Genomic DNA, 24934 nt, shown 5'->3' on the forward strand with positions numbered 1-24934 from the left:
TATAAACTTTAATGCATATGACATAGTTTGGATGTTGTCCCCACCCAAATTTCATGTTCAAATTTAATTCTCCAATGTTGGAGGTGGGGCCTGTTGGGAGGTGATTGGATCATGGAGGCAGATTTCTCATGAATGGTTTAGTACCATCTTCTGGATACCTTTTTCATGACAGTGAGTGAATTCTCATGAGATCTGGTTATTTAAAAGTGTGTGGCATCTCCCCCTCTTACTCTTGCTCCTGCTCTGGCCATGTGACATGTCTGCTCCCACTTCACCTTCCACCATAAATAAGTTTCCCGAAGTCTCCCCAGAAGCAGACCAGATGCCAGCATTATACTTCCTGTATAGCCTGTAGAACTGTGAGACAATTAAACCTCTTTTCTTTATAAATGACATAGTGTCAGATAATTTTTTATAGCAAAGTGAGAATGGACTAATAGAACATGCAATGTTTCCTTTCCATGTTCATATATAATGCTGTAAAACTAAGTATGCTGGTTATTCGTAAATGTATGAATTTTATTTTGTTCTCTTATTTTAACTACATGGGATATCGTATTTTACAACATAAAACCATTGTGAAGGACTGTGTGTATTCCTTGTGTATTCCTTTCATTTTGAGCAGACATTCAGTAAATATTTATTATATGGATGAATGAATTTCTACATTTTGTTTAGGAAATCACTCAGTTAGCAAAAGACTGGATAATCTTCAGTAAATAAAATACATAAGTCTATCTGAAGAAAGTTTAGGAATTAAATTGTACAAGAGTTGCAGGGGGTAGCTGACCTCCAAATACAGTATGGATACATTACCAGTTCCTTTCTAACTGAGCTAAAACATGATTACAGGGAGGCAGGGCAGAACCCAGGGGTCTCGACGTTTTGCTTCTTTCCATAGGTTTTTGCAACTATCACTTCTAGTATATATGTAAGAAAATTTGAACACAAACAGTCTCTTGGGCAACCATCCAAATTCTGGGATATCGCAAAGGATATGGCATATGCCAGGCGTTATAAACATCCAGATCCTGACAAGATTTAATATATGATTTATCATTATCAGTTTGCATTTAATCTTTAAATAATCAAGAAAAAAGACAATTAAGACAAGATGATCTAGAAAGAGATTGGTTTTGTTTAGTAATTAAGACCCTGGCTTTCTAGAGAAAGACTACCTAGATTGAAATGCTGTTTGTTTAGCAGCTTTGATTTTTATTATTATTTTTAAATTGATACATAATAATTGGACACGTGTATCCACAGTTTACATAATCATTCTGCACAGCCTGTTTACTCATCAGTGAAATTAGTATAATAGAGCTTTTGAGAGGATTAAATGAGTTACTTTATATGGACTGCTTTGTACCTGTCGCATAGTAAGTGATCACTCACTGTTAAGTGTGATTATTATTGATACTGACACTGTAGCTAGAATTTATTCCAGAACAGAAAGATTGTATTAACATAAAAATTGAAATTATCATACCTGCTTCTAACCCTTCTTTGATAAAAACAATAATGAAAACATGGTTTGTCTAGGTCTCTGCTTATATTTCTAGGTGGCACAGGTATTAATACCACTTTAAAGTGGTTTTCTGGTACAAAACCACTTTAAAGGTCCCACGACATACAGGTCTTAAACTTTATTTCTCTTGAGTTTGTTTCCAATATTCAGAAAGTTATTCTAATTGCAATTCAGTGAGATAAATAAATTATGATAAGTTTTAGGCATATCGAGTTAGGTACATATGGAAAGGCTATTAGATAGTGGTTACTTCAAAGCGAAAGCATTCCTTTTTGATTCATATTTGTTTTTCTGCGTGTAGAAACTAAGGGCTATACTAGGTGGTAAACATTGTTTCTTGGGAATCCAACTTTAAGACTGGCTATAGAAAGCGGTAGTCTGTGCACCTGTGTTGTTATGCATCATATATCAGGACAGTGCCTTGTACATAGTGAGTCTTCAATAAATATTTGCTAAATTGAATAAATCAGTATTGTCATATTACCTTCTAATAGTATTTAGAAAGTGTCATGTTCTAGTAATTGGATATTTGGTGCAGAGAGATCATCTCAATGACGAGAGCACTAACTTTATAATGCTTTTCCAGTGCAGAAAAAAAGCAGTGTTTTTTTTTTTTAATTCAAATTTGTTCTTGTTTCACTAATTGGTCTTAGGTGATAGAATAATATAGGAATAGAATTATTACTATTTCTATTCTGTTTTGAAAAGTAAAAACATATTGTGTTAAATTCATACCCTAGCCTAGTAGGAATATTAATTGAATATGCATTTGGAGATTATTTGTAATGAGTATATAAAATTTCAACCTATTATTCTCTGCTTATACTAGGGTTATATTTTGGTATGTAAAATTAATGTTTCTAATATATTTTAAAATTATGTCTTCTCTGTATGTGGTATTTCCCTTTGTTCTTTATTAATTTGCTTGATACACTCTTTTAAACAGTATCAATCTACCACCTGTTTGAAGTATTACAATTTCTGTATTAGAGAATTCCAAATTAATGAGGTTTGACAGGATTATTATTATAGTTAATGTGAATAGAGATATAAATATAGGATATACTGATACTTTGACATTTAATTTTGGTACAAACAAATGGTCATAGGTCTTTTTAGAGCCACCATGAATACATGAATTAACTAAAGCAATCCAACAATTTAGCAGCAAGAGAATACAGTTTTATTATCTACTTCCTGAAATGCCATCATATTTAATTTTTACAAAATAATTAGGGGAAAATTTACCAATCTAGGAAAGAGATAGAACTCAATAAAATCTCTAGGCATATTGGCAAGAAAATAATAGATTTTTTGAGAACTGTTTAAACTCTCAGCTTAGCTTTTGACCAAGTCAAATAAGTGGGGACAAAATTTAAATTTTCCCTGTTATAAGGATGTTAAAAAAATCTATGACCCTAACATAACAGATTCTGGTTGTTTTATTTTAGTATTTTTTCCATCAGAAGACTAGAAAAAATGCTAGATTTTTGTATACCTCTCTGTCGAATAGTAGTGAGTCCTGAAATATTTTATGCAATGGAAAATTAAAACTTCCAATATACACATGCGTAGTGCAACATTTTGTAACCTTATGTGAGATCCAGAAATAATAACCATAGGAAAAAAAATTCAAACATATTTAGTCATTATGTGTTTACATAACATAATTTGTTGTATAAGTTATCAAAATTAATATATTTTATTTTATATATAATATATAATAATATAGCAACATTCTTCTTTTGCATTGGTTCCTCTTGAGCACATGCTCAGACTTTTGACTACATGACTTGTCTTTCCATAAATATGTGTCTACTTCTTCTCATTTACCTGCCTAGAGAGTTGGCTCTTTGCTTTCTGAGACTTCCACTTCATCTGTTCTCCTTAAGTCCCCACTGCCAGACTGCAAGCTGATATGTTGCATTCCTTAATTATTCTACATATCAAATCTACAAATACTATGAAAGAAATAAAACATTTCTTAGATGCGTTAAACTCAGCCTAGAAAGTATATTTTGCTTTTTAGATTCAAATTTAATCCAGCTTTGAGAACAGAAATAACCTATTATTATGCTTCTTCAAAAACATATGTACTGTATATGAATTACTTTTAGGTCTATTCATACAACAATGTTTCTGAAAAATACCACTTGTGTTCCTTTTCTACATTCATAGACCCTAAATATTTTAAACATCTGAAGTACACATATAATCAAATTTACTTTATCCTATAAATGGTTTAGGAATCAGAAAAAAATAGGTAGCAAAAAAAAAAAGAAAAAAACAGCGATATGATTATTAGAGATTACCAAACACAGGCTTGGAGGATTGTACCACCTGTGCTGCTTTGAATGAGCATTTTTAGATCACTGAGAGGGTGTGATTATTTTAGTTCACCACTACTACCTCTCTCACTCTTCCATCCATGGCTCTACTTTGGATTTGGTGATAGCAGCATTCGGTGAAAAACAAACCAAGAAAACTGTATGTGGCCTAAGTGTTCAAATAAACCATAAATGGAAATTGCAATAAAGCCATTCAATTACATTAGATTAGGAGGAATCCCATTATTCTGCTTTTGTTTCTTCTTGTATTTTCTATTTTTCAAATACGTTTCAATTACTTGATACAGAAGTGATATAGTTTGGATATTTGTACTTACTCAGATGTCATGTTGAGATGGAATCCTCAGTGCTGGAGATGGGGCCTAGTGGGAAGTGTTTGGATCGTGGGGGCAGATCTTCATGAATGGCTTGAGCCATTCCTTTGGTGATAGGAGAGCTCTTGCTCTGAGTTCACAGATCCGGTCATTTAAAAGTGTGTAGCACCAGCCGGGGAGGTGGCTCACACCTGTAATCCCACCACTTTGGGAGGCCGAGGTGGGCGGATCACGAGGTCAGATTGAGACCATCCTGGCTAACATGGCGAAACCCCGTCTCTACTAAAAATACAAAAAAATTAGCCGGGCGTGGTGGCGGGCACCTGTAGTCCCAGCTATCAGGAGGCTGAGGCAGGAGAATGGCGTGAACCCGGGAGGCGGAGCTTGCAGTGAGCTGAGATGGCGCCACTGCACTCCAGCCTGGGCGACAGAACGAGACTTCGTCTCACAAAAAAAAAAAAAAAAAAAATAGTGCGTAGCACCTCCCCGACAACTCTTTCTCTCTCTTGCTCCTGCTTTTGCCATGTCAAGTGCCTGCTTCCGCTTTACCTTCCACCATGATTTTAAGTTTTCGGAGACCTCCACGGAAGCTGATGCCAGAGCTATGACAGCCTGTAGAAACATAAGCCAATTAAACATTTTTTTCTTTATAAATTACTCAGCCTCGGGTATTTCTTTATAGAAATGCATGAATAGCCTAACACAAGAAGTCTAAAAAATATAAATTAAATCAACAGACTTCACCACTAATCTGGAAATATTATTTCAGTGAGAAATACTGTTTATTTTCGTGTATCTTCACGAAGATTTGATAGTGAAGAACACAGTTTTTATTTTTTCATTAAAGATATCCATAGAAAAGCATCCAACGTTTCAGTTAGATAGGAGAAACAAGTTATAGTGGTAAGAAACGTCTATTCCTTGCTTTTTGATGTGGTTGGCTCTGTGTCCTCACCCTAATCTCATCTTGTGGCTCCATAATACTAGGGAATGTATCCAAGTCGCAGCACCGAAGTATGTTACCAGCAGCGAATCCATACAGGTCTACAGCAACTTGGTTCTTGACTCCTTGGAGGAAATAATTTGGCCAAGAAGCAAACGTAGATATAAGGCAGAGAGAGAGACTAAGGCAAGTTTTAGGGCAGGAGTGAGTTTATGTAAAAGTTTTAGAACCAGAACAAAAGAAAGTAAAGTACCCTTGGAAGAGGGCCAGATGAGTGAGTTACTTGAGAGATCCAAGTGTCCTGTCCAACTCTTGACTTGGGGTTTCATACATTGGCATGGTTCCGGAGTTTGCATTTCTTCTCCCCAGATTCTTTCCTTAAAGCAGGTTGCCCACATGCATGGTGGCCTGCCAGCATGAGGGGCCACGTGCAGGGTGTTTACTGAAGTTGTGTGCATGCTCACCTGAAATGCTTTTCCCTTACCAGTGGACTGTTCCTAGAGGAAGGTCATATGCTGGTTAAACTACCATTTTGTCTCTTAGTGTGCATGCTTGAGCCTGCTCACCCAAGCCCTGAGATCTTATGAAGAATCTGCTGATAACAAGCTTCAGTTGTTTCCTATTAATGGAAGACTGCCTTACCCTGGCACAGGCTGTGATCATTTATTATTTTAGAGAGAGTTTAACGACTAACTGACCATCACCTGATGGTCGTCAGACATTCCTCAGGGGAGGGATCCTCTCCTGGCCTCATGTGCCTGGCTACCTACTCTAAAAATATCCTAAATATTAAAAACATATATGCTTTCATAGCAGTTCATATGCTTTGGATTTTATGGGAGAATTGTAGGCTTTTGCTTTATGTTATTCTTATAGAGCCGTGTGCTGCCTAACATTTTAGTCAACTACATACTGAGTATACCATGGTAGTCCCATGAAACCTGAACAATTCCTATTGTTTAGTGACATCTTAATAATCTTGACTCAGTTTAGATCTAGGCTAATATATGTTTTCATGTCTTCGTTTTTAACAAAAAAAGTCTAAAAAGCAAAATTAATAAATAAAATTAAAAATTATTAAAAATAGAAAAAATGTTTATAAAATATGGACATAAAGACAAAATATTTTTGTGCAGCTGTGCAATGTTTGTGTTTTGAGTCAAAAAATTAAAAAATTACAGAGAAAATTAAAAATCAACATAAAAATTATCTTTCTTCAGTAATAAATTAGCTTACTGTAACTAAATAAGCTAAGTTACAGTAAGCTAAGTCTAATTTATTATTAAAGATAAATTTTAAAATAAATTTCACTACTTATAAAGTCCACAGTAGTGTACAGTAATGTTCAGTAATGTTGTAGTCTGCCACATTTACACAACACTGACTCACTCATTCACCCACCCAGAGCGACTTTTAATCCTGCAAACTCCATTCACAGTAAATGTCCAATATTGGTATACCATTTTTTTATATTTTGTACTGTATTTTCCTGTACTTTTTTATGTTTAGATATGTTTAGCCAGACAAATCCTGTTGTGTTACCATTGTCTACAGTATTAAAAGTACAGTAACATGTTGTACAGGTTTGTAGCTGAGGAGCAATAGGCTGTACTGTATAGCCTAGGTGTGTAGTAGGTTATATCATGTAGGCTTGTGTAAATACATTCTATGATGTTTGCACAAGAAAATTGCCTATTGATGCGTTTTTCAGAAGGTATCCCTCTTGTTAAACAACTTGTGTCTGTATATATAGTGTATCTTTGTATGTTTGTCTCTATACATGCATGTGTGTATATAAAAATGAAAGCAGGTTCTAGAGGTCTAATAACTTGAATCCTGTCTGCTGTTACCTCATTTGGCATAGTATTTAGCTTGCTTTTAGATTTCTGGGCAGATATCTTTTTAGAATCATAAGAATATGTAAGGTGCCCTGACACTTAAAATTCTTACACACATGTGAAGAAAATCTCACATTTTATTATTAAAATTGTCTTTTAAATCATAAAGAATGGGCATATTTTAAAATTGGGAGTTAGTAGTCAAGACAGTGTCTGTAAGATGAGGTTCAAGAGGCTAGAGGAGCAACAGAGCAGGGAATTATGGGGCAGAAGGCAAACTTCAGAAGACAAATAAACAGTAGCACCAGTAATAATTTAATTGAGACTACCTCTGTGTAACAAACAGTGAAGGATAATACATAAATCTTAGCATTTGCATGCGTTTTAACTGAATTTTTGTTAAAGATATGACATATCAGTTATTTCAAGAAAATAAGTGTGTAAGAACTTGGGAGGCAAGCATAACATCAAAATTCTTAAAGAATACAGAAAAGATAAATTAAGGGTCTGAAACCCACTGTAAAATTGAAGATTGTATAGAATTACACCACAATTTTAATTAGCATGTTTTTACCTACAGGAATGTTGATAAATACTAAATAAAATTCTGCTGCTGTCGTTAGTATTTTTAGTGGTGCCATGTAATACTATTAGGAGAATGGGGGATTTAATAATTAAGCAGAATTTGTCCTAATCTATGTAATAGTTTTTCATCATCAAACAACAAATATTTATTTATTTTTATTTTTTAAAATTTACACACTATAATTGTATATAGTTATGAAGTACAATTTGATGTTTAAATACATATATGTTATATAATGATCAAATCATGATATTTATATGCATCATTATTATGCATGATATTTATATGCATCATACATATAAATAAATATATGTATTTATTTCTTTGTGCTGAGCATTCAAAAGCTTCTTTTCCAGCTATCTGCTAATATACAGTACTTTACAGTTAACCACACTCACTCTACTGTGCAATGAAATATCAGAATTCATTCCTCCAATCTAATTGTCACATTGTACCTTTTAACCACCCTCTCTCCACCCTCCCTTTCCCCACTGCTTCCCAGTCTCTAGTAACCACTGTTCCACTCCCCGCTTCTATGATATCAACTCTTTTGTTTCTTAATTCCACGTATTAGTGAGATCATGTGGTATTTGTCTTTCAGTGTCTAACATTTTATTTAACATAATGTTCTCTAGGTCGATCCTTGTTTCATAAGCGGCAGGATTTTAATCCTTTTTATGGCTAAATAGTATTTAATTGTGTATATATACTACATTTTTTATTTATTCATTAATTGTTGGACACTTGAGTTTATTCCATATCTTGTCTGCTCTAACTAGTGCAGCAATAGTGAAGGAAGTGCAGACATCTTTTTGACATACTGATGTTATTTTCTTTGCATGTATACCCAGTAGTGGGATTGAAAGATCCTATGGTATCTATCAGTCACATAGGTATTCATATGGTAGTACTATTTGTATTTTTTTGAGAAATCTACATGCTGTTTTCCATAGTAGCTGTACTAATTTATAATCATGCCAACAGTGTGTTCACTTTTCTCAACAAACTCACCAAGACTTTTCTTTTTTTCTTTTTTTTCTTCTTTTTTTTGTTAACAGTTATTCCAGCTGGCGTGAGATAGTATCTCAACGTGGTTTTGATTAGTGTTTCCTTGATAATTAGTGATATTAAACATTTTTATATACCAGTTGGCCATTTATATGTCCATTTTTGTGACATGACTATTAAAGTATTTTGACCATTTTTAATCAGGTTATTTGGTTTATGGTGAGTTGTTTAAATTCTTTATATATTCTAGGTATTAACCCCTTGTCAGCTGTATAGCTTGGAAATATTTTCTCACAATTTGAACATTATCTTTTCATTTTGTTAATTGTTTCCTTTGCTATAAAAAAACTTTTCAGTTTGATGTAGTTCATTTTGTTTCTTTTTGTTTTTGTTGCCTGTGCTTTTGAGGTCTTATTTAAACACTCCTTGCCCCTCCCAATGTCACAGAGCATTTGCACTATGTTCTCTTCTAGTATTTTAATACTTTTGAGTGTTATATGCATGTTTTTAATCTATTTTGAGTTGATTTTTGTATATGGTGAGAGGCAGGATTCTAGTCTCATTCTCCTGCAGCTGGATATCCAATTTTCCCAACACCATTTATTGAAGAAATTTTTCCCAGTGTGTGTTGTTGAAACTTTTATTGAAAACCACTTGACTATAGATGTGTGAATTTATTTCTGGGCTCTTTGTTCTGTTCCGTTATTCCTTGTGCCTGTTTTAATACCAATATCATACTTTGTTGATTACTATAGTCTTGTAATATACTTTGAAGTTAGGTAGCATGATGGCTCCAACCTCATTTTTTTCGCTCAGGATTCCTTTGGCTATTCAAGATATTTTGTGGTTCCATATGAATTTTAGGATTTGTTTTTGTATTCCTGTGAGGAATGTCATTTGTATTTTCATTGGTATTGCATTAAATCTGTAGATTGCATTGGGTAGTATGGCCATTTGAGAAAATTAATTCTTTCAATCTGTTAACATGGGATATCTTTCCATTTTTTCATGTCTCTGTTTTCTTTATTACTCTCTTATAGTTCTTATTTGTTAAGGTTATTTCTAGGTATTTTATTTTTATATATATTTAAATTGAATTGTTTTCTTGATTTATTTTTGAGATAGCTTGCTGTTAGCATGTAGATACACTACTGATTTTTGTTACGTTGACTTTTTATACCATGACTTTATTTGTTTATTACTTCTAACAGATTTTTGTGTAGTCTTTAGAGTTTTCTATATATAAGATAATGCCATCTGCAAATAGATACAATTTGGCTTCCTCCTTTCCAATTTGATGCCTTTCATTTTTCTCTTTTGCCTAATTGGTCTGGCTAGGTCTTCCAGTGCTATGTGGAAGTGGTAACAGTGGTCATCTATGTCCTATTCCTAATCTTAGATAAAAAGCTTTTAGTTTTTCCCAATTCACTAGTTTGCATGTTAGCTTTGGGTTTGTAATATATGGCCTTTATTGTACTGAGGTACATACAGTCTATGTCTAATTTGTTGAGAGTTTTTTTTTAATCATGAAGCCTTGTTAAATCTTATTAAATACTTTTTCTGTGTCTATTAAGATGATCATATGGTCTTGTTTGTTTTCTTAATGCGGTGTATCAAATATATTAATTTGCATATGGTGAACTCTCCTTGCATCCCTGGGATTAATCCCACTTGATCACAATAGATGATGTCTTTAACGTGCTGTTGAATTTGGTTTGCTTGTATATTGTTGAAAATTTTTCCATCTATGTTCAAGAAACCTATAGTTTTTGTTGTTGTATTCTTGTTTGGTTTTGAAATCAGGGTAATACTGGTATATGAAATGAATTTGAAAGTTTTTTTTTCTCATTTTCTATATTCTGGATTAGTTTGAGGATGATTGGTATTAGTTGTTACTTAAATGTTTGGTAGAATTCAGCAGTGAACAAGCTCAGCCTAAAATTGGTAGAAGAAAAAAACAATGAAGCTAATACTAGAAATAAACAATATACAGACTAAAAGCATTCAAAATATCAATGAAATTAAGAATTGGTTATTTGAAAAACTAAACAAAAATCATTAGCTAAAGAAAAGAGAAAATATGGAAATAAAATCAGAGATGAAAAGGGAGACATTACAACTAGTATCACAGAAATACAAAAAAATTCATAAAAGTGTATTATAAACAAGTATAGGCCAACAAATTTGAGAACATAAAAAATGGATAAATTCCTAGACACATGCACCCTATCAAGATTAAATTATGAATAAATAGAAACTCTAGACAGACAAGTAATGAGTGAGAAAATTAAATCATTAAAAAAAAGTCTTTCATCAATAAAAGACCCAGGTCTTGATTAATGTAGCAAATGTCTTTTGAAAGTCAATTGTTTATCAGCATTATTAATTCTAAAAATGTAGAAACTATTTTCTTTATTTTCAAGAGTTTACATTTGGACAGAGTTTACATTTGCACAGAGATATAAAGAAATAAATACAAGCTAATACATATAAAGCAAAAAATAAAAAGTTTAGAAAACAAATGCTTCTGAAAGTAAGAAATAACACTATTGGCTTAGTTGGCAAATAATGACAATATTTTGAAGACATATCTGAGGACTTACATAAAACATTTCTTAAATCTTCTGTGGATATTATAGATCCTAGAGATGAATAACCTGTTTATACAATTTACGGATTATTCCTCTTCATTTCTTGAGAAGTTTAGTTTCTGGCCTATCATATATATTTTCTGATCTATGCCATCTTTTTTATTCCTGGCAATCTCAGTATCTGTGTAGATGAAACTTAGAGTAGCCTGGCCTCTCAGTTGCTTCACCTCCAGCAATAACATGTTGCACCCTAGCGCAACTCTCAAATCTTGTGGCCACACTCCATCATCTTGTCATTATCAACAATGGCATATGTTCCGTAGCATTGATTTCAAGCAATCAAGTCTCTGGTCACTTCCTCCTACCTTTTCAGTTCATTCCTTCAAAATTATTTTAGCCCTATTGGGTCTGCCAACCCACTAACTTTCACACATACCTAATGTCCTCAGTTCGCTACTTACCCAGCTTACACTCCATGTAGCATAATCAGAATCACATACCTGCATATGCCCTTAAATTCTCTTCTTCCTTTGTGCTTTTCTAGAAAAACAAAAACCTTGGTTAAGTTTAGCTTGCCATGTATTTTGTGCCTGTATCTAATAAGAACTATACTGATAGTCTAATTTTAAACATTACCACAAAAATCAACTGGACCTGTAATGCTACATAGTCCTAATGTAGTTTCCTAGTCAGTTTACCCTTTGACTCTCATAAACGGCTCTTCTTCACCTTCATCTCTTATCCTCAACTTCCAAAACTTGCTCCTCATTCTTTTTATAATCTTTAAATGTAGAAGTCACCAGAGATGACCTCAAACCCCTTTCCTAATAACATGCATTCTTTGGGGTGATATCATTTAGTCCCATGGCCTTAAATGTCATTGTTGGCAATGGCCCCACTTATATGTCAGTTGTTCCCCTTAATGCCAGAGTCACAAATCTAACATTCTCCTCAATTATCTCCCTGGAATTATAATAGGTATCACCAACTTGATATATCCTAACACACTTATGATTACTACACCTATCCTTCCCTATCTCAGTAACCATCTTTACCATTTAGGCAGTTGCTGATGTCAAACCTAGAAATCATCTTTGGTTTATTTCTTTAGCATTCTTTACGTAATCCATCATAAAATCTATTTGGTTCTACTTTTAAAATGTATTCAGAATTTAACAACTCCTAACTACTTCTATCAATACCACCACTTCTATAATCTTGATTACTACAATACACTTGTAATTCTTCTTCCCATTTCCACCCTTGCCTCATAAACGCCAGGAGATTTTAAAGACTTAAATCACATCATGCTACTTCTGTTCAAAATGTGAATTCCCAGTGTTGCTGCATGACCTGGTGTATCACCAGCTCTCTGACCTCACCATTCTCTTCCTTTCACTAGTTCTGCTTTAGCCACACTGGACTGTTGCAGTTCCTTGAACGATGCACTGCACAGTTTCCCTTCTGAAGGGCTTTTTTTTTTCCCCAGGAATTACCTTTACTAGGATTTTATTAGTCCATTTTGCATTTCTATAAAGGAATACCTGATCCGGGGTAAAGAAAAGAGATTTATTTGGTTCATGATTCTGCAGGCTGTACAAGCAGGACACCAGCATCTGCAAGCCTTCTAGTGAGGCCTTGGCAGCTTTTACTCATGGCAGAAGCTGAAAGGGGAACATGCATGTCACATGGCAAGAAAGGGATCAAGCGAGAGGAAGGGTACTAGTATCTTTTTATTTTATTTTATTTTTTAGTGTACCCATGACTTTTTTTATTATACTTTAAGTTTTAGGGTACATGTGCACAACATGCAGGTTTGTTACATATGTATACATGTGCCATGCTGGTGTGCTGTACCCATTAACTCCTCATTTACATTAGGTATTATCTCCCAATGCTATCCCTCCCTGCTCCCCCCACCCCACAACAGGCCCCGGTGTGTGATGTTCCCCTTCCTGTGTCCATGTGTTCTCATTGTTCAATTCCCACCTATGAGTGAGAACATGTGGTGTATGGTTTTTTGTCCTTGCAACAGTTTGCTGAGAATGATGGTTTCCAGCTTCATCCATGTCCCAAAGGACATGAACTTATCCTTTTTTATGGCTGCATAGTATTCCATGGTGTATATGTGCCACATTTCCTTAATCCAGTCTGTCATTGTTGGACATTTGGGTTGGTTCCAAGTCTTTGCTACTGTGAACATTGCCGCAATAAACATATGTGTGCATGTGTCTTTATGGAAGCATGATTTATAATCCTTTGGGTATGTACCCAGTAATGGGATGGCTGGGTCAAATGACATTTCTAGTTCTAGGTCCTTGAGGAATCACCACACTGACTTCCACAATGGTTGAACTAGTTTACAGTCCCACCAACAGTGTAAAAGTGTTCCTATTTCTCCACATCCTCTCCAGCACCTGTTGTTCCCTGACTTTTTAATGATCACCATTCTAACTGGTGTGAGGTGGTATCTCATTGTGGTTTTGATTTGCATTTCTCTGATGGCCAGTGATGATGAGCATTTTTTCATGTGTCTGTTGGCTGCATAAATGTCTTCTTTTGAGAAGTATCTGTTCATATCCTTTGCCCACTTGTTGATGGGGTTTTTTGTTTTTTTTCTTGTAAATTTGTTTGAGTTCATTGTAGATTCTGAATATTAGCCCTTTGTCAGATGAGTAGATTGCAAAAATTTTCTCCCATTCTGTAGGCTGCCTGTTCACTCTGATGGTAGTTTCTTTTGCTGTGCAGAAGCTCTTTAGTTTAATTAGATCCCATTTGTCAATTTTGGCTTGTGTTGCCATTGCTTTTGGTGTTTTAGACATGAAGTCCTTGAAGGGTGCTAGTCTCTTTAAACAACCAGCTCCCACATAAACTAAAAGAGTGAGAACTCACACATTACTCCAAGGACAACATCATGTCATTCATGAGGGATCCACCTCCATGACACAAACAGCTACCACTAGATCCCACCACCACCACTGGGGATCACATTTCAACATGGTATTTGGAGGAGACAAATGTCAAAACTATATCAAGGATATTTACATGGCTTGCTTTCTCAGTTTTCTCAGCTGATTAATCTTATCATAGATGCCTTCCATTACCACTCTACATAAAATGCCACCAGCCTCCCCATCCCAAAGCCTCGACTCTCTTCCCTCACTTTGTTTCTCTTCATAGACCTTAACACTACCTGACATACTTATTTGTTTACATTCTAAGCCCTCCCATGAGACAAAGTGCATGAGAATCAGAGTTTGTTGTGTTTACTGCTATATCTTCACTTCCTAAAATAGTTCTGTTCAGGCACTAAGAAATCAATAAGTAGCTGTGGAATGAATAAATCTCCTGAGATGTTTAAATGCAAAGTTCTATTGAAAGTTAGGACACACACACACATTCAGCAGAAACAATGAGTCTAAATATTAACCATATTGGGTAGTATTTGGGTATCAGGAAGAATATCTGATGGCTTACTTTTTCTACTGACTCCAAATTGTATGTATAGTTTTCTTCTGTCTTCTTAATTTGACATAGACAATAATTCTGTATGTTATTTTCTGAACATTTCTGCATTTAGAATTATCAAAATATAATTATTTAAATTTACATATTAATATATATGATAGTAGAAAAATATCAAAATCATTGCTGAGTTTCTTAAACATTCCATTCCAATAAAACACATAACTGAAAGACATTTAACTGCATTTGTGAAATTTCTTCACTTTCTTTTTAACTTTGAGCAGTGTAAATGAAAAAGGATTAGGTGATTAAAACAAGCCTCTGTGGCTGAGCGCAGTGGCTCACACCTGTAATTTCAGCACTTTGGGAGGTTGAGGCTAGTGGATGTCTTGATACCAGGAGTTCGAGACCAGCCTGGCCAACATGGTGAAACCCTGTCTCTACTAAAAATACAAAGATTAGCCAGGTGTGGTGGTGCACGTCCGCAGTCCCAGCTACTTGGGAGGTTGAGGCATGAGAATCGCTTGAACCCAGGAGGCAGAAGTTGCAGTGAGCCAAGATCAGGCCATTGCCCTCCAGCCTGGGCAACACAGCGAGATTCTGTCTCTTCTTAAAAAAAGAAAAAAAGCTTCTGAGAATATAAATTCTATTTAAATTAAAAAATTGCTTTTATTAAAACTGTTAATGAATCTGAAAATATCACAAATGATTTAAGACAATTTCCTTAATGTATGGCATATTTTACAAGGGCTATAGAAATAACCACAAAAATATTAAAGAGGGTATTTGGTAAGTAAAAACATTCATATATTTTTCAAGTGTTAACATCTTAGTGTCTGGTTTCTATACTAGTGTTTAAGATTGGAGGTGGTAGAGCATAGTGGTCAGATCAAATACTCTGGGACATGATGGAACTGGTTCAAGTACAGTTATGAACTGCATCATGACATTTTGATCAATGAAAAACCGCTTATATGATGATGGCCCCATAAGATTATATGGGAGCTGAAAAATTCCTATTAGCTAGTGACAATGCAACCATTGTTCACAATGCACTACTCACATGTTTGTAGTAATGGTGTAAACAAACCTACTGCACTATCAGTCATATAAAAAAGTATACCACATACAATTATGTACAGTACATAGTACCTTATAATGATAATAAATGACTATGTTACTGGTTTAAGTACATACTATACTATACTATACTATACTATACTATACTATTTTTACCACTATTTTAGAGTGTATTCCTTCTACTTAAAAAAAAAGTTAACTGTAAAACAACCTCAGGCATGTCCTTCAGGAGGCATTCCAGAAGAAGGCAGAGATGAAAGCTCCACGTGTCTTATTGCCCCTAGAAACCTGCCACTGGGACAAGAAGTGGAGGCAGAAGACAGTGATATTGATGATCTTGACCTTGTATAGGCCTAGGTTAATGCATATGTTTGTGTAACAATTAGCATAGAGTTTAACAGCTAAAAAAATTAAAAATAGAAAAAAGCTTTTAGAATAAGGATATAAGAAAATGTTTTTTACATCTGTACAGTGTGGTTAAGTGTTATTTAAAAAATCAAATGTTTAAAAGTTAAAGTTTGTAAAGTAAAAAAAGTTACAGAAAGCTATGATTAAGTTATTATTAAAGAAAAAGTATTGTTTATTAATTTAGTGCAGCCTAGATGTACAGTGTTTATACATTCCACAGTAATGTACAGAAATGTGCTAGGCTTTCACATTAACTCACCATTCACTTACTTACCCCCAGAGCAAGTTTCGGTCTTTAAAAGGTTATCTCATGGTAAGTGTTCTATGCCGGTATTCCATTTTTCATCTTTTATATTATATTTTTACTGTGCTCTTTCTATGTTTGTATATTTGAGATGAAAAAATACTTACTATTGTGCTATAGTTGCCTACATTGTATTCAGTACAGTAACATGCTGTACAGGTTTGTAAACTGGAAGCAATAGGCTATACCATAAACCACATAGCCTAGTTAAGTGGTAGGCTAGGTCATGTAGCTTTGGGTTAGTACAGTCTATAATGATGCACAACAACAAATCCCTTAATGATGCATTTCTCAGATGTATCTCTGTTGTTGAGTGACACAAGACTGCATAATATTGTCATTCAAATAATAATTTTCGTGATTTACAACAGCATATTTTACGCTATAATCACATGTGGTATATTAAAATACTTATTTCACAAATAGGGATACATCATTTCTTCACATAAAATTATCCAGTAAGCATGGCAGGGTGCGGTGGCTCACACCTGTAATCCCAGCACTTTGGGAGCTAAGCTAATTCGACATTGAATGTTTGACTCAATTAATGTGAACTGAATCATTACTAGAAAAGAGAAAAGATTAGGATAATTTGAGTTAAGTGCAACCTGAATGCTTTTCAGTCTACGGTGCCAAGAAATTGTTCTTTTCCAGAACAAGTCAACAAGAGTGCATCTGAAGGGAGGTAGCAGGCAATTTTTGAGCTATTCATACCATGATCCCTTCTTATCAGTACAATATTATGACTGAAGATTTAAAGAGTGATAATATATTTGAATTGAACAGAGAAAGTAATATCACCTTGGACCAACTGTCTTAAAAGAAACACAGACTGAATCGGGAGTGAGGAGATCTAAAACTAATCCTAACTGGTGGTTAGAAAATGATGCCTGGATGCAAGAAATGTAATAAGCAAAATAATTAAGTGCATTCATCTTATCAATCAATTGTTCATCTCCTACTGATTGTAAGCCTGTGTGTACTTGTGTTGAGATTTAAATTCCACCATTGTGTGATGTTGAAAATACAGGTAGCTTGCTTTTATTATTGTAAATTCAATAGCTATCACGTTTGACTAAATATTAAGAAATAAAAGGTGGAATTATGTCCAGTTTCTTAATGGGATTGATAGTGTAAAGAATGCTATGAAACCCTTAGGCTTGAAATTCTTTGAGGAATATTTCTGATGTGTAATGAGTACTCCAGGGAGAAGCTTCAGGACATAATCAAAAATTTTAAAAGTATTTTGACTCAGGTCTAAGGGTTTCCTGCCTATTGACGTAATTATAATACCCATATAAATCAAAGAATGTAGGTTTTATGTCTGTGAATATAACAACCAGCACTAGCCCTATTGGTGAATTGTACATAGTTCTGGTTACATTTCAGATATAAATAATAACCAGCACACTTCACTTTAATGAGAGGTTAGGTAGTAATTATAGTAAAATATCTAAGATCGGAAAACAGATTTTAATTTTACTTTAATCCAACATATTTCCTTTAGAAGTTGGTATGCCTAAATTTCCACTACATGTTTGTACTCTCATTAGAGAAAAATTAAATTTTTTACAAAATTATATGATGAACCATATTCTCATCCTTACTTCCTTTTCAGATTAGATACACAACACTCTGAAGACATGAATGCCACCAGATCTGAAGAGCAGTTCCATGTTATAAACCACGCAGAGCAAACTCTTCGTAAAATGGAGAACTACTTGAAAGAGAAACAACTATGTGATGTGCTACTGATTGCAGGACACCTCCGCATCCCAGCCCATAGGTAAGTATTTTTATGTATACAGAATGGTTTTGAGTAGGGCAATTATAAATAAGAGATAATGAGTACATGGATTATAAACTGGAATATTGTAAAAATATTTATTTTCCTATATTGAAAAAGTCTTCGCCTATATGATCTGTTTCTCTGTGTATTATTTAGAAGATCCAAACTTGGAAAAGACTGATGATGGAAAGTACAGCACAAACACACCCTCTAAAAAAGATCAGTTTATGTATTTGACCTTTCTAACTTCACTACATTTAACTGAATTATAAAGATTTTATGGAGAAAACAGACTCACTAGTGTTACAAACTTGCTGAATCCATTTCATGCTTTTCAGTGAAATTATTGACTCATTTAAATTCCTACAAATATTTCCTATTTCCAGGTTGGTTCTCAGCGCAGTGTCTGATTATTTTGCTGCAATGTTTACTAATGATGTGCTTGAAGCCAAACAAGAAGAGGTCAGGATGGAAGGAGTAGATCCAAATGCACTAAATTCCTTGGTGCAGTATGCTTACACAGGTAAGTGCCAAATACACATTAACTCATAATGACCCTACATTACATAACACATTATTATTAGTAGTAGTAGTAGTTATTATTGCTACTAATACTACTACTATTCTTCATAGTAGTAATACTGCTACTACAACTACAAAGGTGAGGAAACTAAAGAATAGATCAGTTAAATAAATTTCCTAAAGTAATAAAAAGGCATAGTTAGGATATAAACTCGATAATATAAAAGAAGAAGAGGTATATAATATGTAGAAAATACCTTAACCATGAGAGCAGACAACTATTTAACACAAACATACAGGAACAATTCTGGAATGGTGTGGGCACATTCTTGTTTGTAAAAAGTAGAGTTGGGAATGGGATCTTCCAATCCTACAGTAGAGATTTAGTCATTCTGTTCATTCAGAATAATTTTCATATCTATTCAAACTGCAAATAAAGGTAACAATGAATTTGGGGACTAAAAAGTATTTTGACTTTTATTCCAGAATGATTAATTCATCCTCAGGGTCTCTTAGTATTAAAATATTTTTATTTGATTATGTATACTTAGGCTCTTCTTAAGACTAAAAGCTTACCTCCTGGCTTTCTCCAACAGAGTCATTTTCAAACATTTTTGCTTGCACTGTCTGTAAAATAATTTTGAAAAGCGATATGCTCTCCTTACATTTTTCCATTAATGACTAAAATATGTTGTAATTTTAAATATTTGTAAAGTATATAATCCCCAAAATATTGTAAATATTAATCTTTTTATAAAGCACTATTAAGTTTGCATTTTAAATGTATCTAACAAATCTCAATCCCATGAGAATTTGGTACCAACAACAATTCATTTAAAAATATATCTGTATGACAGTCCCTCAAAAGTTAAACAAAATAGTTACCTTATAACTTAGCAATTCCATTCATAGTTATATACCCAAGAGTTAAAAACATGTCCACACAACAGTGTGTACACAAATGTTCACATAAGCATCATTCATAACTAAAGAGTAGAAACAACCCAAATGTTTACAAACTGAGGAATGGGTAAATCAAATACGGTATATGAACACAATGTAATATTAATAGGCAATAAAAAAGGAATGAAGTAGTAATAGATACTACAACATGGATGAAGTGTGAAAATATGCCAGATAAAAGAAGCCTGTCACAAAAGATCGCTTATTTTATTATACCATTTACATTAAATGTACAAAATAAAAAAAATTGTAGAGGCAGAAGATATATTATTGGTTGTAGGAATATGGAGGGAATTGGGAATGAATGTTAATAGGTATGGAGTTCCTTTTGGGAGTGGTGAAAATGTTCTGGAATTAGATAGTGATACAGGTTGCAAGCTTTTTTGAATATACTAAAAAACACCAGATTGTACATTTTGAAAGTGTGAATATGATATGATTTAGATCCTAACAAAAATATGTATGAATAAACTTTTATTTCAAAGTTGTTCCTATGCCACAACCCCATAATGTAGCATAGTATACTTTGGGATAGGTGAGCAATGTGACTTCCTTTTATGAGGTGAGAAAAAAGAAAATTATGGAAAGGACACTGGGAAAGTAAAACCTGTGTGGTAACAACTGTTTTGGGAGCAGACCATTTTTTAGGAGGGATATGTATGGAATTTGAGGTACTGAAATTTCTTTACATGAAATTGATCTGCGTCTCAGATGGGTTTTATGTAACTCTAGCGGTATGCATGCTATTTGAAGACCACGGTTCTAACAAAACTACTTTGAAATTTTACAGTGTTTCATTCCTTCCTTCAACTTTCACCTTTCTCCTGACAAGCCTTTAAGCAAAAATATTCCCTAAATTTTCATTATGCTCTAAAATTTCAATAAGCTTTTTAAAATCAGGAGTGAAATGGAAAGAACTTTATTTCTTCCACCTGATACATTTTAATCTTTAGAAAACATCTTTTTGTTTCCAGTAAGCATTCGTAGGATAAGATAATTCAGCCAGCTGGCTTGACTATCCTTTTACTCTTTAATGAAGTGAAACTTGAAGCAGCTCCAAACAGCCTTTCTTAAGCATGCTTGTAACTGAATACTGTACACTGTAATATACAATGCTTTCCTACTGTATCGAAGACATTTATAACTATTCCTCTGAATGAATATTCTTCCTAATAACCAGACCAAATTTAAATGTCTATAGCAGATGAATATTTATATCTGAATTGGAGAATAGATCATACTTCTCTAGGTCTCATGAGATATGGGCAGGGCTCTCCCTTCAAAATCAAAACAAGAACAATACAAGAGAGTCTGCTGATGGGCTGGACCCCTTTACAATATATTTTACAGGTTGAACTATGTATAGAGGACCTCACAATATGTATTACCCTTTTCCTTATGGTTATGCAACTATATGAGCCCCATATTAAGGTATTTTAGAAGGGAAAACTTTAGGGGAATAGTTTGTAATTGATATCAGCCATTTGAAACATTCTTTATAACTTGGCTAAAACAATAAAAAGTAGGAATGTCTCATAAAATCGCAGAATTTTTGCAATAACTATTCAATAACACTTGTTCTAAAAATAATACAGACATATAAATATAAACGGACTAACTCAAATTGCTTCTGATTCTGTTTTGTAAAATTCATTACAGATATTTTCAAAAAGAGACTGTTTTTTTTTTTATAACAAAGCAAATAAGTAATTATTCATTTGTGGACTCTTGGCAACATTTTCTTCCTCTTGAGACAGTGCCAGGGGTCAATTCTAGAGATAATATTTTGGGCAAATACATCTTTACCAGCTAATGTAGATACAAAAAAAAAAGGCATAAAAGTTCAGTGTTCTTCTTACAAAATAAACGGACAATTAAGCTTAATGCTTTTTTTATTTACCAAGATGTTTACCTCCTCACAATGACAGTTACTTGCATGGCCAATTGTATGATTCTTATACAATATGACATAATGTTCTTTGAGTCATAATGAAAGTTTTTTCAACTTTATACAGGTATGATTTAAAAATTAAAATTGTATGTGTTTAAGGTGTACAACGTAATATTCTCATGTACATATACAATGTGAAATGATTAATATAAGATTTAAATGCAGGCCTAAGATGATAAAGAAGTGACAAGTTGCTGTTCTTTACAATAGTGTTATTCACTGTTTATTTGTTACAGTCATTTTTGATAACCTAATCTGGTTCATTTCAGCCATCTTATTAGTGTTTACAGACAGACTCTCTTGCGTATATTAGCCTCAAAATGTGCTCCAAATCTGCTGAAAATCATAGCTCTACTAGAGAGGAAAATAAAAAAAAAATGTCAACTAGTTGACGTAGTTTTTACTTTATGGAACTTATAATCATTCTTTGCTTTTTCAAACCATCTAGGAGTCCTGCAATTGAAAGAAGATACCATTGAAAGTTTGCTGGCTGCAGCTTGTCTTCTGCAGCTGACTCAGGTCATTGATGTTTGCTCCAATTTTCTCATAAAGCAGCTCCATCCTTCAAACTGCTTAGGGATTCGATCATTTGGAGATGCCCAAGGCTGTACAGAACTTCTGAACGTGGCACACAAATACACTATGGTAAAATCAATTGCTTCAACTGAACTTGTAGTAAAAATATGTTAATGTTATAATAAAATTAATAAGCAACATAAACTTATATAACTTGTAGATGACTTTCACATATGATATATTCAACAAAAACATTTGTCTGGTTGAGCTGCACTCAGGCAAGCTTTTCCTTTTCTGAATTACAAATGTTTAATTAAATCCCCAAACTTAAGGAAATAAAAATACTGCCAAAAAATAAATTGTACAACTGCGTATTTCAAATAGAATCTATAGTATTAAGAAAATGTTAATTCCCTGATGTTTTTGCACAATTAGAGCTTTAGTTTGTAAAATTGTACGAATTATGATTTATAAAGAAAGTGAGGTGTCATTCAGTAAGGAAAAATGCTAATATTAATGGGTCAATAATTGTCAGAGCTTAAAAACTACCAAAATTAGTGGCGCAATCTCAGCTCACTGCAACCTCCGCCTCCTGGGTTTAAGTGATTCTCCTGCCTCAGCATCCCGAGTAGCTGGGACTACAGGCGCCCGCCACCATGCCCTGCTTTTTTTTGTATTTTTAGTAGACATGGGGTTTCACCATATTGGCCAGGCTGGTCTCGAACTCCTGACCTTGTGATCCACCTGCCTCAGCCTCCCAAAGTGCTGGGATTACAGGCATGAGACACTGCGCCCAGCCCAGATAATTTTATTGAATGAACTTCTTTATGTCTTAGTAACAAATTTTACTTTGGTTAAAAATAACTTACAGCTCAATTCATTAATGCAACTAACTTAAAATCCCTTTCAATTCTATTAACAATTAAATCTAATGCAAATGTTCATAGGTGGTAATTATTTAAATGTTGCATATGATAAGATAGAGCATATTAAATGGACAGAGGATATTCAATAAAGCCTTACAATAGATGCCAATACTTCCCTGAGACAGAGTAAAAATAAACTTTTTTAACCTCTGAAGAAGGGAAGGACACAAGAGATGGATCATTTTGTGAAACCCAATCAAAATATAAATATTTCAAAGAATGAAATTGCTTCAGTTATTTAATATTAAAAAACAAAAAGCAATTGCATACAAGTGAACAATAGAAAGGCACACATTGAAATCATAAATAAAAGTAGCATTTTTTAGAATAGAGATGCATATAAAGAGTATTTTTCTGGAGTTTTATACAGAAGGTAATTTTTTAATTTCTAAAATTTCAATTGTTTAAAAACTTCTTATCAAATCTTTCTCCCTCCTACTTCCCACCCTAGGTCCATTGCTCAAAATTTGAAGTTTGAAACGTATTCCTAAAACAATACCATTATATGGAGAATCATATTATAATGGATTGACATTTTAAAATATATCATTTAATTACACCATTTATGTCCCTGCGTCCTAAATACAGATGCCATATAATCTAAAGGAACAGCAGTTATGAAGGTCAAAGGTTTATTCTACCACAAAAAATAAACATGAAAACTTCCTATTAAATTACTTAAATTCTTGAACTAAGTTTTAGCAGTTTCCTGTTTAGTATTACACACTTGCAAGCAAAATACATTCCGAAAAAAGTTTGAATTATTTTTGTTGCTCAAAATGAACTTGTCTTCCTTTTCCTATTATGTGACCAAAACGGAGTGTTGAAGCAGAATGTGCATAAAAATGTAATATTGTTGTCTCTCTTAATCTCTCTTCTTTAGTTATGTTAGTATCTATTGTAAATACAGTAAAATATATAAAGGTCTTGCTATAATAATGTTGTTGCAGTACTGGATTGATAGTTTAATAATGCAAATAATTTTAATGTCTAAGAATAATACTAAACAATTTAGGGATTCAATTGTAATCATGTGCATTGGTAGACTGAACAAGGTAGATTGCCTTCCCTAATGTGAATGGGCCTCATCCAGAACTACCATCACAGACACACTCAGAATGCTATTTGGCCAAATGTCTGGGTACCCCGTTCGTTACCCAGTCAAGTTCATACATAAAATTAACCATTTAAATCATACAGATAGTTGTCTGCATCAATGAAGCATTTATCAAATATGTGATAGTCATTTGGTAAATTTTGCAACAATATAAGTGTAGATTTTTATAAAATGAATAGTTAAGCCAGGGCACAAAAGAAGACTCCCTTGGAAGTTGCATAGAATAAAGTGTTTACCTTGAAATTAGGAGCAAAATAATTCCAAAATAAAACAATTTAAAATTAATCTTTAAGTGAAACTAATTAATTCTATACAGTACTGGATACTGCAATGTAATATATAGATACTTTAAAATTACACTTATTCTTTATTTAGACTAATCTACTATATTGCCCAGCAATTTTCAATAGTCCCATTAGGAAGCAATTCTGAAGTCATAACAAATTCTATCAGAAAATCTAGGTTTTTCCTCTTCATTTTTTAATTGGAGAGTGGGTAAAAAGGAGGAGATATTGAGGTGTCCGTAATATTAATGCAGTTTCAGAGTTTATATACAATATCGGTACTATATAACCTTAAGTTTTATAGTTTTATATTTGTCTAAACTCTTTCACAAAAATCATATCACTTATGAAAAGCAGTTGCAATAGCAAACAAAACGCAGTAAGCATGATTTCAGAGGCTTATGCTTGAATCCAGACTTTGCCACTTACTCCATAGGGAATCAGACAACTCAT

At 33.6% G+C, this 24934-nt stretch overlaps 1 protein-coding gene across 3 annotated transcripts in view; it reads left to right on the top strand.

Moving 5' to 3' along the window:
* KLHL4 (kelch like family member 4) overlaps positions 1–24934 on the top strand; it is a 152249-nt gene that overhangs the window by 78044 nt on the left and 49271 nt on the right. For all 3 annotated transcript variants that reach the window (XR_938403.3, NM_019117.5, NM_057162.3), the window contains exons 2-4: positions 18032–18199; positions 18589–18725; positions 22087–22283. Coding sequence is in view for 2 of the 3 variants with exons in the window: in NM_019117.5 (NP_061990.2) it covers positions 18032–18199; positions 18589–18725; positions 22087–22283 (502 nt within the window). In the remaining variant the exon portion in view is untranslated. The remainder of the gene's footprint in view (positions 1–18031; positions 18200–18588; positions 18726–22086; positions 22284–24934) is intronic.

This window comes from Homo sapiens, chromosome X (genome assembly GCF_000001405.40).
Source record: "Homo sapiens chromosome X, GRCh38.p14 Primary Assembly".
Classification (NCBI taxonomy): Eukaryota; Metazoa; Chordata; class Mammalia; order Primates; family Hominidae; genus Homo; species Homo sapiens.